This window comes from Homo sapiens, chromosome 11, assembly GCF_000001405.40.
Source record: "Homo sapiens chromosome 11, GRCh38.p14 Primary Assembly".
NCBI lineage: Eukaryota > Metazoa > Chordata > Mammalia > Primates > Hominidae > Homo > Homo sapiens.
Genome location: NC_000011.10, coordinates 48,589,014 through 48,606,340, shown reverse-complemented (window position 1 = coordinate 48,606,340; position 17,327 = coordinate 48,589,014). Strand labels below are relative to the sequence as shown.

At 37.9% G+C, this 17,327-nt stretch overlaps 1 pseudogene; it reads right to left on the bottom strand.

Moving 5' to 3' along the window:
- On the bottom strand, positions 15,650–16,601 carry OR4A41P (olfactory receptor family 4 subfamily A member 41 pseudogene; annotated as a pseudogene).

The following is a 17,327-nucleotide window of genomic DNA, read 5'->3' as shown; positions in this document are numbered from 1 at the left end:
GGACAAGACCCTTATTTTGTGACACAAGTAAACAAAAATGTACCAACACTAAAATTTGTTACATGAAAGTTTCCTCAATTATGGTGAAGTAACCATAAGTACTTTACTGTGATTGAGGACTTATGATAACATTCATGCGCCCAGCTATTAAGCTTTGTACCTAACAAGGACAATGCTGAAATTTAACTTTATGGAAAAAACAATTACAGAACTTTCTCACAGGCAGAAGCCAAACTCTTCAGTTTTTCGGTCATTCAAATATCATTCCAATATCATACCCCCAAGTCTACTTCTTTCCTAATTAAAATCATGTCTTTATATCTCCCCACCTCAGCCCAGTAAATTGAGAACTTTAACACATTTTTACGCAACATGGAGGATATGATAAGAAAACACCACACCTAAAGGACTAAATACCAAATGAAGACATGCTCTACCTTGGGCAGAAATTTAACTCTTCAGATATCTCTTGGGTTATTCTATCAGGAAAATAATATTTCCATTTATGTGTGTAGACACAATCTATGACTTTTACATCATCGTATTTTAAATAAAAGAGAGTGTAAGGTCATTATATATTAGTTAATTTCATTATTTGGAATAAATTCAAATGAAGTAAACTCTCTGAACATCTTTTTTTCCCCTTAGAAACTCCCTAGAGGGAAAAGATTTGGGTGTCATTAAGGAAGAGTAGCTAAAAGCCAAGTAATGTGAAAAGCCTATAATGTGAAAAGAAAAATTTTAAAATAAATTGAACAAAAATTATGAGTTTCACATTATGAAATACTGAGGTAAGGCAAGTAATATTTAAGCCAGAATGAAGGCGGAACCAGTCCCAGGTTCTCTTCCCTAAGCACATTCCCAAAAAGAAGAGCTTTACCTTTCCTGTTAGAAATTCCATGCCCAAGAAGTCCTGAGGCTCAGAGGCAGGCAGCCTAAGAACAGAAGTTGACATTCTGATTCTTGAAAAAGTAGGTAACCATGGTTCTGCAGTTTTAGATCAGAGTACAAGCTTTTGATCAAGGCCTGAATCTATGTCAGATACAACCATAATGACCTACAGTCCATTAATTCAATTATTTAATTGTATTCCAACATCAATTCAGTAACTGTTTCTACAATAAAGAAATTTGTATTTTCCAACAAGGGAGCAATGCTTAAGGGCTTCCATTGTTATTTCCATGACTTGGCTTACCATTGGCTCTATTGAACACGTTCATTTCATCATATGTTTAGTTAAATATTGGATCCACTGTGTCATAAGAGTGTTAGATACAGAGTCTCATAAATACATATCTGAACCAGCTAATGAGTTTATCATGTACCGGACTCCACTAAAAGTTGGTCGTTTTCAACTTACCTAATAAATGGATGAAATTCATCCACCCCAAATGTAACATGTATCACTTCTAAAGTTTAAAGACTATGTCTGTAAACACTGTGCTATCTTACTGGTAAGTGGTAAAAGATGGACAAACATTTAATTCTGAAGAACTATCAGATATGATCAAAGATACCATGGATTAAATTATGTCTCCAAGATGGATAACTAATGTGAAAATAAACCATAATTCTCTATGTCCCTTCTAGCTGAATTCAAATAACCACTAATTCTTCCCACTTTTCAGAATGACACAAAAGTGTTTGTTAGATCAGATGATGCATACAATAGCCAAGAGCTCCAATAATAAAAAGTACATAAGAAATATTAACTAATGTATAAATTGCCAAAAATATGCCATAGTCCATCGTAATTCTCTGTAATCCATATCTATTATCAAGCTAGAAAGTTAAATATAGTTAAATATACATTTTTAAAGGAAAAATGCATGTATATTAGTCTGTTCTCACATTGCTGTAAGGAAATACCCAAGACTGGGTAATCTATAAAGAAAAGAGGTTTAGTTGACTCACAGTTCTGCATGATTGGGAAGGCCTCAGGAAACTTACAATCATGCCTCTTCACAGGGCAGCAGGAGGGAGAAGAAGTGGCAGCAGGAGGGAGAAGAAGTGACAGCAGGAGAAATGACAGACACTTATGAAACCATCAGATCTCATGAGAACTCACTCATGATCAAGATGACAATATGGGGGAAACCATCCCCATGATTCAAATACCTTCCACCTAGTTCCTTCCACAACACATGGGGATAATGGGGATTACAATTCAAGATGAGATTTGGGTGCAGGCAAAGCCAAATTATATCAGCATGTTATGCACTCCCAGGTATTTTTAAGACTGAGGATTTCAGACATCATGGTGGATGGGAGGCAGGACTAGATTGCAGCTCTGGAAAGAGCAGCTTACGGAGGCTTGCACTGTGAATTTTAGCTCCAGACTGACTACAAGAACAAACCAGTCATCCTGAGAGGACCGACAGACCCTCTGAAAGAAGCAGACTGCTCCTGCAGGACCCAGGAGACACCTCAAATACTGTGAGTGCCATAATCGCAGAAGTGGGAAACGGAGACCCTCCTCTCCCTAACACACACGTGCACTAGAGAAGCGGAAGGTCTGTTTGCAGGAGAAATTCCTGACTTTACCTGGAGCTGAGTCAAGTTAGAGAGCCAAGCCAAGAAAAATACGGGGGTAGAGGAAACAGCAGAAAGGCCCTGGGAGCTCACTGGATCCCCAAGCAGCCCATTCCTGTCTGGCACCACCGGGATCCATCAGGAGGGTGGCCAGAGGAGCAGGCAGTGAAACTCCCCAGGGAGAAGGAGTTCTGAAGCTGAACTTTGTAACTATTTGAATGGGATGAGAAACCTCCTGGCCAGAACTTGGGGGAGGGCTCAAATCTTGTTTGCAGACTTCACAGGTCAGGGAAGAACTAAAACCCTTTTCTTTCACAGCTGAGAGACAGAAAGCCTTGGGCAAGTTTTCAAGCCCTACTTGCCCTCCACCTAGAAGAGACTCAGATTACTATGGGGGACAAGGTGCGAGTGAGACCAGTCCTTCTGTTTGCATGGGAACTGAGTAAGGCCTGTGACTGCTCACTTTCCTGCACTTCCCTGACATCCTGAAGGACTCAGCAGAGGCACCCATAATCTTCCGAGGTACACAAACCAATGACCTCAGAATATCACACCCATCCCCCACAGCAGCCACAGCCAGACCCACCAAAGGAGAGTCTGAGCTCAGACATGCCTAGCCCCACCCCCAACTCATGGTTCTTCCCTGTCCACACTGGTAGCGGAAGACAAAGGGCATATAATCTTGGGAGTTCTAGGGCCTCACCCACAGCCTTTCCCTCTCCACACTACTACAGCTGATGCTTTCTGGAAAGTGCCACCTCCTGGCAGGTGGCCAACAAGCACAAAAATAGAACATTAAACCACCAAATCTAAGGAGACCTATGGAGTCCATTGCACCCTCCGCCACCTCCACTGGAACAGGCGCTGGTATCCATGGCTGAGAGATCCATAGATGGTTCATTCACACAACTCTGCAGACAAGCCTCAGTACCAGCCCAGAGCAGGGTAGACTCTCTGGGTGGCTACACCCAAATGAGAGACAAAAATCACTGTAGATTGGCTCACAAGAAGCCACCTCCACAGGAAAACGTGAAAAATACTACATCAAGGGAACACCTCGTGGGACAAAAAAAAATCGCACTAGTTCACCAGCAATGAATCCAAACCAAGAAGAAATCCCTGATTTTCCTGAAAAAGAATTCAGGAGGTTAGTTGTTAAGCAAATTAGGCAAAGACCAGAGAAAGGTGAAGCCCAATGCAAGGAAATCCAAAATGGGATACAAGAAGTGAATGGAGAAATATTCAAGGAAATAGATAGCTTAAAGAAAAAAACATTCAAAAATTCAGGAAACTTTGGACACACTGTTAAAAATGTAAAATGCTCTAGAAATACTCAGAAATAGAATTGGAGAAGTAGAAGAAAGAAATTCAGAGCTCGAAGACAAGGTGTTTGAATTAACCTAATCCAACAAAGACAAAGAAAAATGAATAAGAAAATATGAACAAAGCCTCCAAGAAGTCTTGAACTACATTAAATGGCCGAACCAAATAATAATCAGTGTTCCTGAGGAAAAAGAAAATTCTAAAAGCTTGGGAAACATATTTGGGAAAACAATAGAGGAAAACTTCCCCAGCCTTGCTAGAGACCTAGACATCCAAATACAAGAAGCACAAAGAACACCAGGAAATTCATCTCACAAAGAGGTCTTGGCCTAAGCACATTGTCACCAGGTTATCCAAAGTTAAGACAAAGGAAAGAATCTTAAGAGCTGTGAGACAGAAGCTCCAGGTAACCTATACAGGAAAACCTATCAAATTAAGAGCAGAAGCCATATAAGGTAGAAGGGATTTGAGCTCTATCTTCAGCCTCCCCAAACAAAACAATTATCAGCCAAAAATTTTGTATCCAGAAAAACTAAGCATCATGAATCAAGGAAAGACAGTCTTTTTCAGCCAAACAAATCCTGAAAGAGTTTGCCACTACCAAGCCAACACTACAAGAACTGCTAAAAGGAGCTTGAAATCCTGGAACAAACCTGGAAACACCAAAAAACAGAAATTCTTTAAAGCATAAATCACAGGACCCATAAAAAAAAATACAAGTTAAAAAGCAAAAACAAAAGAAGCAAAGTACACAGGCAACAAAGAGCACAATGAATGTGATGGTACTCTCATTTCAATATTAACATTGAATGTAACTGGCCTAAATGCTTCACTTAAAAGATACAGAACTGCCGAATGGATAAGAACTCACCAACCATCTGCTGCCTTCAGGAGACTCACTTAACACATAAGGGCTCACATAAAATAAAAGTAAAGATGTGGAAAAAGGCATTTCATGCAAATGGGCACCAAAAGAAAGCAAGCAGGGGTAGCTATGCTTATATCAGACAAACAAACTTTAAAGCAACAGCAGATAAAAGAGACAAAGCGGGACATTATATAATGGTAAAACACCTTGTCCAACAGGAAAATATCACAATCCTAAATATATGTGCACCTAACACTGGAACTCTCAAATTTATAAAACAATTACTAATAGACCTAAAAAATGACATACGCAGCAACACAATAATAGTGGGAGACTTGAATATTCCAATGACAGCCCTGGACTGGTCATCAACAGAAAGTCTACAAAGAAGCAATGAATGTAAACTGTACCTGGGAACAAATGGGATTAACAGATATATACAGAACATTTCATCCAACAACCACAAAAGACACGTTCTATTCAACAGCACACAGAACTTTCACCAAGATAGACCATAAGATAGACCATAAAATGAGCCTTGATAAATTTAAGGAAATCAAAATCATATCAAGCACTCTCTCAGATCACAGTGGAACAAAACTGGAAATCAACTCCAAAAGGAGCCTTCGAAACCATGCAAATGGCATTATAATTTAAAAAACGTGCTCCTGAATGAGCATTGCCACAAAAACAAAATCAAGATGGAAATTAAAAAATTATTTGAACTGAACAACAACAATGACAAGATATATCAAAACCTCTGGGATATAGCAAAGGCAGTGGTAAGAGGAAAGTTTATCACCCTAAATGCCTACACTGAAAAAACTGAAAGAGCACAAATTGACAATCTAAGGTCAGACCTCAAGAAACTAGAGAAACAAGAACAAACCAAACCAAAAACCAGCAGAAGAGGTAAATAACCAAGATCAAAGCAGAGCTAACTGAAATTGAAACAAAAAAAAATACAGAAGATAAATTAAACCAAGGGCTCTGTTGTGTTGCATTGGTCTATATCTCTGTTACAGTACCAGCATCATGCTGTTTTGGTTATGTAGCCTTGTAGTATACTTCGAAGTCAGGTAGCATGATGTCTCCAGCTTTGTTCTTTCAGCTTAGGATTGACTTGGCAATGCGGGCTCTTTTTTGATTCCATATGAACTTTAAAGTAGTTTTTTCCAATTCTGTGAAGAAAGTCATTGGTAGCTTGATAGGGATGGCATTGAATCTATAAATTACCTTGGGCACTATGGCCATTTTCATGATATTGATTCTTCCTACCCATGAGCATGGAATGATCTTCCATTAGTTTGTATCTTCTTTTATTTCAATGAGCAGTGGTTTGTAGTTCTCCTTGAAGAGGTCCTTCACGTCCCTTGTAAGTTGGATTCCTAGGTATTTTATTCTCCTTGAAGCAATTGTGAATGGGAGTTCACTCATGATTTGGCTCTCTGTTTGTCTGTTGTTGGTGTATAAGAATGCTTGTGATTTTTGTGCATTGATTTTGTATCCTGAGACTTTACTGAAGTTGCCTATCAGGTTAAGGAGATTTTGGGCTGAGATGATGGGGTTTTCTAGATATGCAATCATGTCATCTGCAAACAGGGACAATTTGACTTCCTCTTTTCCTAATTGAATACCCTTTATTTCCTTCTCCTGTCTGATTGCCCTGGCCAGAACTCAGAAATAATGCCACATATCTACAACCATCTGATCTTTGACAAACCTGACAAAAACAAGAAATGGGGAAATGATCCCCTATTTAATAAATGGTGCTGGGAAAACTGGCTAGCCATATGTATAAAGCTGAAACTGGATCCATTCCTTACACCTTATACTAAAATTAATTCAAGATGGATTAAAGACTTAAATGTTAGACCTAAAACCATAGAAACCCTAGAAGAAAACCCAGGTAATACCATTCAGGACATAGGCATGGGCAAGAACTTCATGTCTAAAACACAAAAAGCAATGGCAACAGAAGCCAAAAGTGAAAAATGGGATCTCATTAAACTAAAGAGCTTCTGCATAGCAAAAGAAACTACCATAAGAGTGAACAGGCAACCTACAGAACGGGAGACCATTTTTGCAATCTACTCATCTGACAAAGGGCTAATATCCAGAATCTACAATGAACTTAAACAAATTTAAAAAACAAACAACCCCATCAAAAAGTGGGTGAAGGATATGAACAGACACTTCTCAAAAGAAGACATTTTTGCAGCCAAAAGACACATGAAAAAATGCTCATCATCACTGGCCATCAGAGAAATGCAAATCAAAACCACTATGAGATACCATCTCACATCAGTTAGAATGGCAATCATTAAAAAGTCAGGAAACAACAGATGCTGGAGAGGATGTGAAGAAATAGGAACACTTTTACACTGTTGGTGGGACTGTAAACTAGTTCAACCATTGTGGAAGTCAGTGAAGCGATTCCTCAGGGATCTAGAACTAGAAATACCATTTGACCCAGCCATCCCATTACTGGGTATGTACCCAAAAGATTATAAATCTTGCTGCTATAAAGACACATGCACACATATGGTTATTGTGGCACTATTCACAATAGCAAAGACTTGGAACCAACCCAAATGTCTAACAATGATAGACTGGATTAAGAAAATGTGGCACATATACACCATGGAATACAATGCAGCCATAAAAAATGATGAGTTCATGTCCTTTATAGGGACATGGATGAAGCTGGAAACCATCATTCTCAGCAAACTATCACAAGGACAAAAAACCAAACACCGCATGTTCTCACTCAAAGATGGGAATTGAACAATGAGAACACATGGACACAGGATGGGGAACATCACACACTGGGACCTTTTGTGGGGCGGGGGGAGGGGGGAGGGGGGAGGGATAGCATTAGGAGATATACCTAATGTTAAATGACGAGTTACTGGGTGCAGCACACCAACAAGGCACATGTATATATATGTAACAAACCTGCATGTTGTGCACATGTACCCTAAAAGTTAAAGTATAATAATAAAAAAAAGCTGGTTCTTTGAAAAGATAAATAAAATTGATAAACCGTTAACAACTTTAACCAAGAAAAGAAGAGAGAAAATCCAAACAAACTCATTAATGAATAAAACAGGAAATATTACAACAGACACCAGTGAAATACAGGAGATCATTCAATGCTAGTATGAACACCTTAATGCCCACAAACTGGAAAACCTAGAAGAGATGGAGAAAATTCCTGGAAAAATACAACGCTCCTAGCTTAAACCACGAAGAATTAGATACCCTGAACAGACCAATAACAAGCAGCAAGATTGAAATGGTAATTTTAAAATTCCCAACAAAAAGGAGTCCTGGACTCTAGCTGATGATATGATCACTTACCACGAAAACCCTAAGGACTCCTCCAGAAAGCTCATAGAACTTATAAAATAGTTTAGTGAAGTTTCCAGATACAAGATTAATGTACACAAATCAGTAACTCTTATACACTAACAGCAACCAAGCAGAGAATAAAATGAAGAACTCAACAGATTTTACAACAGCTGCAAAAAAAAAAAAAAGCAATATAGCTAACCAAGGAGTCAAAAGCCCTCTACAAGGAAAACTACAAAACACTGCTGAAAGAAAACATAGATGACACAAAAAAAATGGAAACACATCCCATGCTCATGGATCGGTAGAATGAATATTGTGAAAATGACCATACTGCCAAAAGCAATCTACAAATTCAAGGCAATCCCCATCAAAATATCATTCTTCACAGAACTGGAAAAAGGAATTCTAAAATTCATATGGAACAAAAAGAGAGCCCACATAGCCAAAGCAAGGCTAAGCAAAAATAACAAATCTGGAGGCATCACATTATCTAATTTCAAACTATACTATTAGGCCATAGTCAACAAAACAGCATGGTACTGGTACAAAAACAGACAAACAGACCAATGGAACAGAATAAGGAACTCTTAAATAAACTCAAGTACTTACAGCTAACTGTTCTTGAACAAAGCAAATGAAAACATAAAGTGGGGAAAGGACACCCTTTTTAACAAATGGTACTGGGTTAATTGGCTAGCTACACGTAAGATAATGAAACTGAATCCTCTTCTCTCAACAAAAATCAACTCAAGATGGATTAGGGACTTAAACTTAAGAGTTTAAACTATAAAAATTATAGAAGATAACATTGGAAAAACCCCTCTAGATGTTGGCTTAGGCAAGGATTTTATGACCAAGAACCGAAAAGCAAATGCAATGAAAACAAAGATAAATAGCTGGGACTTAATTAAAAAACAGAACTTTTGCACAGCAAAATGAATAGTCCGCCATAATAAACAGACAAACCACAGAGTAAGAGAAAATCTTCACCATCTAAACATCTGGCAAAGAACCAATATGCAGAAACTACAACGAACTCTAACAAATCAGTAAGAAAAACACAAACAATCCCATGAAAAAGTGGGCTAAGCACATGAATAGGCAATTCTCCAAGGAAGACATACAAATGACCAACAAACATGACAAAATGCACAACACCTCTAATGATCAGGGAAATGCAAGTCAAAACCACAATGCACTATCACCTCACTCCTGCAAGAATAGCCATAATCAAAAAATCATAAAACAGTTGATGTTGGCATGGATGCCGTGAATAGGGAACACTTCTACACTGCTGATGGGAATGTAAACTAGTACAGCTGCTGTGGAAAACAGTGGTGAGATTCCATAAGGAATAAAAGGTAGAACTACCATTTGATCCAGCAATCCCACTACTGGGTGTCTATTAGAGAGGAAAAGAAGTTATTATACAAAAAAGATATTTGCGCATGCATGTTTATAGCCACACAACTCCCAATTGCAAAATCGCAGAATCAACCCAAATGTTCATCAATCAACAAGTGAATAAAGAACTGTGGTATATATATAGGATGGAATACTACACAGCCATAAAAAGGAATGAATTAACTGTATTTGCAGTTACTGGATGAGATCGGAGACTGTCATTCTAAGTGAAGTAACTCAGGAATGGAAAACCAAACATTGTATATTCTCACTGATATGCGAGAGCTAAGCTATGAGGATGCAAAGGCATAAGAATGATACAATGGACTTTGGGGACTTGGGAGGAAGAATGTGAAGGAGGCGAGGGATAAACAACTACAAATATGGTGCAGTGTATGCTGCTCAGGCGATGGGTGCAACAAAATCTCACTAATCACCACTAAAGAACTTACTCATGTAACCAAATACCACCAGTATCCCCAATAACTTATAGAAAAATAGAAATATAAAAAATAAAATAAAATAAAATTCTCCAGAATTTTCTGCATATTTGAAAGTTAAGTTAATCACTTTTTAACAACTTATTGGTGAATAAATTACAATGGAAATTAGAAAATATTTTGAGCTTAATATTTATAAAAATACAACCTACCAATGTTTGTTAAAGCCACTTCAGATCCAGCTGTGGCAACAAGGGGCCAAGGAACAACTCAGACCACTGCTTCAGATGATGAACACTGTGAGTTTTGAAGGCTTCCATGTGGTGTTAAGTCTGCAGGTGCACAAAATGCAAGAGATGAGGCTTGGGAGCCTCCAACCAGGATTCATAGGATGTATCAAAAAGCCTGGAATTTCAGACTGAAGCCTGCTGCAGGGGTGGAGCATCACAGAAGATCTGTGATCTGTGCTAGGGCAGTGCAGAGAGGAAATGTGTGGTTGGAGCCCACACACAGAGTGCCCACTGGGGCACTGCCTAGTGGAGCTGTGAGAAAAGGACTACCATCCTCCAGACCCCCAAATGGTAGAACCATCAGAAGCTTGCACCCTGCACCTAAAAAAGCCACAGACCCCCCTCAAGAGCAACAGAAGACATTAAGAGCAACTGTGCTGGCTGAACCCTGTAAAGCCACATGAGTGGAGCTACCCAAGGCCTTGGTAGCCTACCCATTGCACCAGTATGCCCTGGATGTGAGGCATGGAGTCAAAGATAATTGTTTTGGAACTTGAAGATTTAGTGACTGCCCTGCTAGATTACAGAATTGCATGGGGCCTGTAACCCCTTTCTTAGGCTGATTTCTTCATTTTGGAATGAAAGTATTTACTCAATTCCTATACCTTTTTGTATTTTGGAAGTAAATAGATTGCTTTTTATTTTACACACTCAGGTGGAAGGGACTAACCTTGTCTCAGACAAGGCTGGACTGTGCACTTTTCAGTTAATGCTGGAATGGGTTAACACTTTGGGGAACTGTTAGGAAGGCATGATTATATTTTGAAAGTTGAGAAGAACGTGAGATTTTAGAGGGAAGTTTCTGATGGTTTAATACCATTACCCCTTGGTGCTGTCAACATGACAGTGAGTTCTCATGAGACCTTGTGATTTATAATTTTGTGGTACTTTCCCCTGTTACTCCTGTTGCCGTCTACTTAGATGTACCTGCTCCCACTTTGCCTTCTGCCATGATTGTAAATTTATTGAGGCCTATCCCAGAAGTTGAACAGATGCCAGAATCCTTCTTCCTGAACAGCCTGTGGAACAATGCGCTAACCAAACCACTTTTCTTTACAAGTAACTCAGTTTCAAGTATTAATAATTTTTACAGCAATGCAGGAATTAACTACTACAAGGAATGTCTAAAAATGTGATAGTACAAATCTTAATTTTGGGATGTAGTGATAAATGCTGAGACATAAATCTGCTTGAGTTTCAATGGAAAGCCAAAGTATTTAATAAGTGACTCTAATCATGCAGAAATGGAACCCCAAACTTTCTTCACCCCTCTGCACTGGTAAGCTGCTAATATTTCTACTCACCCTGTCAAGCTTTCATCTATTTCGGGAAATAGAATGGAGAAGTGAATGTAGTTTCAACATGGCTCTGTGCAATTCAGTAATAAGGTAAATATTTAACGGGTGAGAAAATCATGGCCAGTAGACCCACATTACAAAAAATACAAAAAGAAAGATTTCCTCAGAACAAAGAAAGCAATATTACTTGAATATCAAGTTTATCAAAAGAATGAAGATAGAAACAATACATACAAAATAATAATTATTCTCTTAATTGACATAAAATCAACGGTTTAAGGTGAAATTAATAAGAATATATTCTGGAGTTCATAACATGTAGCAGTAAAGTATATAAAACAATTTCAAAGTGCTGTGGGATATAAGTAGAATTATACTCTCGAAAGATTTTTCATTTCTATTGAGAAACTGAATCCTACCAACAGCCAGCTTGGAAGTGGATCCTTCCTAAGCCAAGCCTTCATATGAGACTGTAGTCCCAACTAGCACCTTGATTAGAGCTTTGTGAGAGACCTTGAAGCACAGGAACCAGCTAACCCTTCTTAGTTTTCTGACCTACAGTAATTGAGAATGAGTACATATTGTTTGAATCTCTAAGTGTTGGAATAATTTGTTATGACTAAATAAATAACTCATATATAGAATATGCTTCAAATATTGAAAATTATGCCATAAATATTTAGTGAACCTATGAATCAAAGAAAAAGGTTTAATGGAAATAAGCAAATACTTAGAACTAAGCAATAATGGAAACATATCAAAATGTGTGAGGTGTGATTAAAACAGTACTTAAAGAAAAATGTATAGCTATAAATGCTTACACTTAAAATTAATGTTTAAAAGCAGCCATCTGAGCCTTCCCCTTAAGAAACAAAAACAAGAAGAGCAAATAAAAGCCAAGCTATTTAAACAAATGGACATCATAAATATAAGACTGAAGTTCAATAACATGAAAAACATAAGATAGAAAAAGTAAATTAGCCAAAAGTTCATACTTTTATAATAAAACTGATAAACTGCTAGAAGAGTGAGCAGGAGAAAACAAAGAGACATTCAAATGGCTGGTACCAGAAATAAACAAATAATCATCCCATAGATCATTTAGACTTTATTTTTTTATTTTTATTTATATATATATATATATACATTTTATTATACTTTAAGTTCTAGGGTACATGTGCACAACGTGCAGGTTTGTTACATATGTATACATGTGCCATGTTGGTGTACTGCACCCATTAACTCATCATTTACATTAGGTATATCCCCAATGCTATCAGTCCCCCCTGCCACCAACCCACAACAGGCCCTGGTGTGTGATGTTCCCTTTCCTGTGTCCAAGTGTTCTCATTGTTCAATTCCCATCTATGAGTGAGAACATGTGGTGTTTGGTTTTTTGTCCTTGCGATAGTTGGCTGAGAATGATGGTTTCCAGTTTCATCCATGTCCCTGCAAAAGACATGAACTCATCCTTTTTTATGGCTGCATAGTATTCCATGGTGTATATGTGCCACATTTTCTTAATCCAGTCTATCATTGTTGGACATTTGGGTTGGTACCAAGTCTTTGCTATTGTGAGTAATGCCTCAATAAACATGCATATGCATGTGTCTTTATAGCAACATGATTTATATTCCTTTGGGTATATACCCAGTAATGGATGGCTGGGTCAAATGGTATGAACTCAAACAAATTTACAAGAAAAAAACAAACAACCCCATCAAAAAGTGGGTGAAGGATATGAACAGACACTTCTCAAAAGAAGACATTTATGCAGCCAAAAGACACATGAAAAAATGCTCATCATCACTGGCAATCAGAGAAATGCAAATCAAAACCACAATGAGATATCATCTCATACCAGTTAGAATGGCGATCATCAAAAAGTCAGGAAACAACAGGTACTGGAGAGGATGTGGAGAAATAGGAACACTTTTACACTGTTGGTGGGACTGTAAACTAGTTCAACCATTGTGGAAGAAAGTGTGGTGATTCCTCAGGAATCCAGAACTAGAAATACCATTTAGACTTTAAAAGGATAGAAAGATTGTTATGAAAAACATTATCTCGATTTATTTCACAGCTTAGATGACAGGTAAAATTTAGGAAAAGTACAACCTTCTAAAAATGACACAAAGAGAAATTGAAACACTCCCATATCCTTCCATGTAATTAGATACGCTTACTTGGAGATAACGTGATAGTGTTTTAGAAAACCCTAAAGAATCTACAGACATAACTTTCTAAAAATAAGAACTGAATTTAACAAGCTTATGGAACTCAAGTGCCAAATAAATAATTCAATTTCCTTTACATATAATAGCGACAATAACAATTGGAATTTTGTTTCAAATTAAAAACCTGTGATGCAATCTAAAAACATAAATACTTAGGAATAGATGAGGAAGATCCCTACACTAATAAAAACAAAACTCTCCAAAATCAAATATTTAAAATACATAATAGATACATTGTATTCAGGAATTACAAACCCAATGTTGTTTAGATGTTGTTAGTGTAAGATGATTTATACATCCAACTCAACATGAATAAAATTCCATTACACTATTTTTGAGATGTAGACAATTGTTCTACATGCTGATCTGCAAAGCGACTTTGCCCCTTCTCCATCAAGGGTTATCTTCTTTTTCTGTAAAACCTCAAATCTGTGGTAGTCATGTGATCACTCTGACCAACAGAACATGGTTCCAGTGACATTGTGCCAATTCTGCAAATACCCATTAACTGGCCCGACATCTCTACTTTCTGCCACTGGGATCTCTGAGCACCATGTAAAACAAGTGACTATCCTTTTGGTTCTTCATCTAAATGGATAAGAAGAAGGACCCAGGGAACTCTTACAGACATCTCTTCCAATATATTATAAATGTGAATTAAGTTATTCTGCATCCTACAGACTACCCAGTTATCAGTTCAATAAGACAGTGACTTCAGACCTTCACCCCAAAGCAGAAGATATACCCAGCCAACCTGCCTGAATTCCTGGCACACAAAATTTTGACATAAAATGAAATAGTCGTTGTTTGAACTCACAAAAACTGTGAAGCCTTGCACCATGCATGAAGGGAGGACCAGAATAAAAAGTGGCAACTCCAAGTGTGGTGATTCCATAACAACAATTCAAAGCATATTGCATTGGCTATAGTGCCCAAAAAAAGAAGCCTCCAAGATATTGCAAGTGAAGGCTAAAAAGACAGAAGTAAATGTTCTGGAGGAAAGGGAAGAGACTGAGTCACTATCCAGTGCTGGAAACGTTTAGTAATTCTGTCACCTGTAGTAAAGTAGAAAATAAAAAGTGTACCTAAGTTAATAGGTGGTTTTGGCTAAAATTTAAGTAGAATGTGGAAAGTTACCACTGTTTCTTATAGAAGCTTATCTTACCATAAGGCATAGGGGTTTTTTTAATAAAAAATAACTTAAAACATTAACTGTTACACTTTCAAACAGAATTTACAAGAAACATAAAAGAGCCAGAACTTGCTGGTTTCAGAAATAGAACTAGTTTCCCTTTCCAGTCTCTGCAAAGAGTTAAGTACTCTAAAGGTAAGAAAGGTCATCAAAATCAAAGTCATTTCAAAGTTGTGGATGTTAAGACCCTCTCATAAATACTTTAAACTAGACAAACATAATTCTAACATCCTTAAGAATACTATCTCACTACACATAGACTTTCAGCCCAAGTCTGAGAAGGGCCAGTTTCAAAGATATTTGTGAGTATGCTGCTTGTGAGTATACTAAAGCAAGCATCATAGGCTTCACTTGTGAACAGGAGGATCTATTTTAATTGCCCAGTCCTCTCTTTCTCCATTGAGTTCTGGGCATGTGGAGGAGATACACTGTCTCAATAGATTTGTAAATAGAGAAAAACCATAATTTTAAAAGTGCACAATGGAAACTGCACCCAAGGAACCCCATCCACACTCAGTCTGGATATAGAGGTTGAGATCTTGAATATCAAACAGATGCCACGATGGGATGATTTCTTAATTGAGCTGGGAGCTTCTCAATCCAGCCTTCTCAAACTAGGAAACCTTAATTGACCTTAGAAGTCTAACAATCTCATGGGACAGACGTTGTCTACATACACCTCTACTAAAAGAAGAGGAACACTCATTCTAACTATAGTTTAGTTTTTATGCCAGAGTTTTTTTACATTGGTTTTTACAGCAATTCTCATCTCTACATTTCTCAGTGTGTATATTAATGAATTCAACATGGGTGTGTGATAACTGTATAAAACACAGTCATGAATTTATCAATAGGAAAGTTCAAAACAGGTCTAACAAACAGGAAAATCAGGGAACTAAAAACAGGACAACCACAGTGATGCAGGAGATGCAGGCAGAGAAGGTTTTACACCTCCCTTCCTGACTGTAAGTTTTAAGGTAAACTACCTAAACTAGAATGACTCCATAGGAGATTAGCAGAAGGGTGAAGACAAACATACACATAGCTCCACCACTGGCCACAACAGTGAGGCCTATAAAGTAGGTATCAGTGCACGCCAGTTCCAATAATGGGTACACGTCACAGACAAAGTGGTCAGTGACACTGGCACCACAGAAAGGGAGATTGTACACAACAATTTGAAACACAGAATTCATAAAACCTCCAGTCACAGCCATCAGCAAGAGAAGGATGCAAACCTGTCGATTCATGATGGTAAAATAGTGCAGTGGCTTACAGTCGGCCACATAGCGATCATAGACCATCCCCACCAGTAGGAAGACCTCAGCACCACCAAATAAGTGGTCTTTAAATAGCTGCCCCATGCATGCTGTGAAGAAAATAGTCTTTTTGTCATGGAGTAACTCTACAGTCAATTTGGGACAAATGGCTGTGGAATATGCAGCATCTATAAATGACAGGCAGACAAGGAAGAAGTATATTGGGGAGCCCAAGGAGGGACTGGCAATAATAGCCACCACAATGAGCAGGTTCCCCACTGTAGTCACAATGTATGTGAGTAAAACCATGACAAATAATGCATTTTGCACATCAGGATCCTGAGTGTTGCCCAAGAGGACAAATCCTGTAACATTGTTACTCAGTCCCCTTTACTCTTCTCTAAGGCTTGTATCAGTGTTGAGAGTTCAGGAGAACAGGACCTGTAATGAAATAGTGAACAGGAATATGAATACATCCATGATGTCACAGAGCACGTCTTCATCGTTGTATCCTCAATAGTGATTTACACACACGACAAACATTTTGTAAGTCTCTACTGAGTTTCTTATCTCCTCAAAGATTTTAGTTTGAGCCTACAGGTAACAGCTTCTGCCTCTAAGTTTTTGTGAATATTCTGTACAGAAGAAGAGTTAAAGGCCCAACAGCCATTCATATATTTCATAACTCCTTATTTAAAACATATTTCTTGGCATGGAAGTCAGCGATGATGAATAGGCAACAGAATACTGGTCTCAAGAAAGTTACTTTCTCGTGGTGGTAATAGACTCTAAATAAATAAACTGGTGTATATTCAGTGCTTTGAGTTTGTAGTTGTGGTATCTTTATGATCTGTGTAACATCAAAAATAACATCTTCTGAAATATCTCACTCAGTACTATGGCATTCCACAGTTACACATTCAGTCCTTCGTGCCTCGAAAGATGTTCAGTCTTTATGAATATCTCATTAAATGTCAAGAGACTGGACATTGACTTGTATAAATAGTAAAATATTATCTATCACATTATTCCCTCTAGCAATTACTTTGTCTGACCCTCTGTTGCCTTATAAGAGGCTATACATCTCTGCATCTTATCCTTACCTATTCCACAAATTTTTATCACAT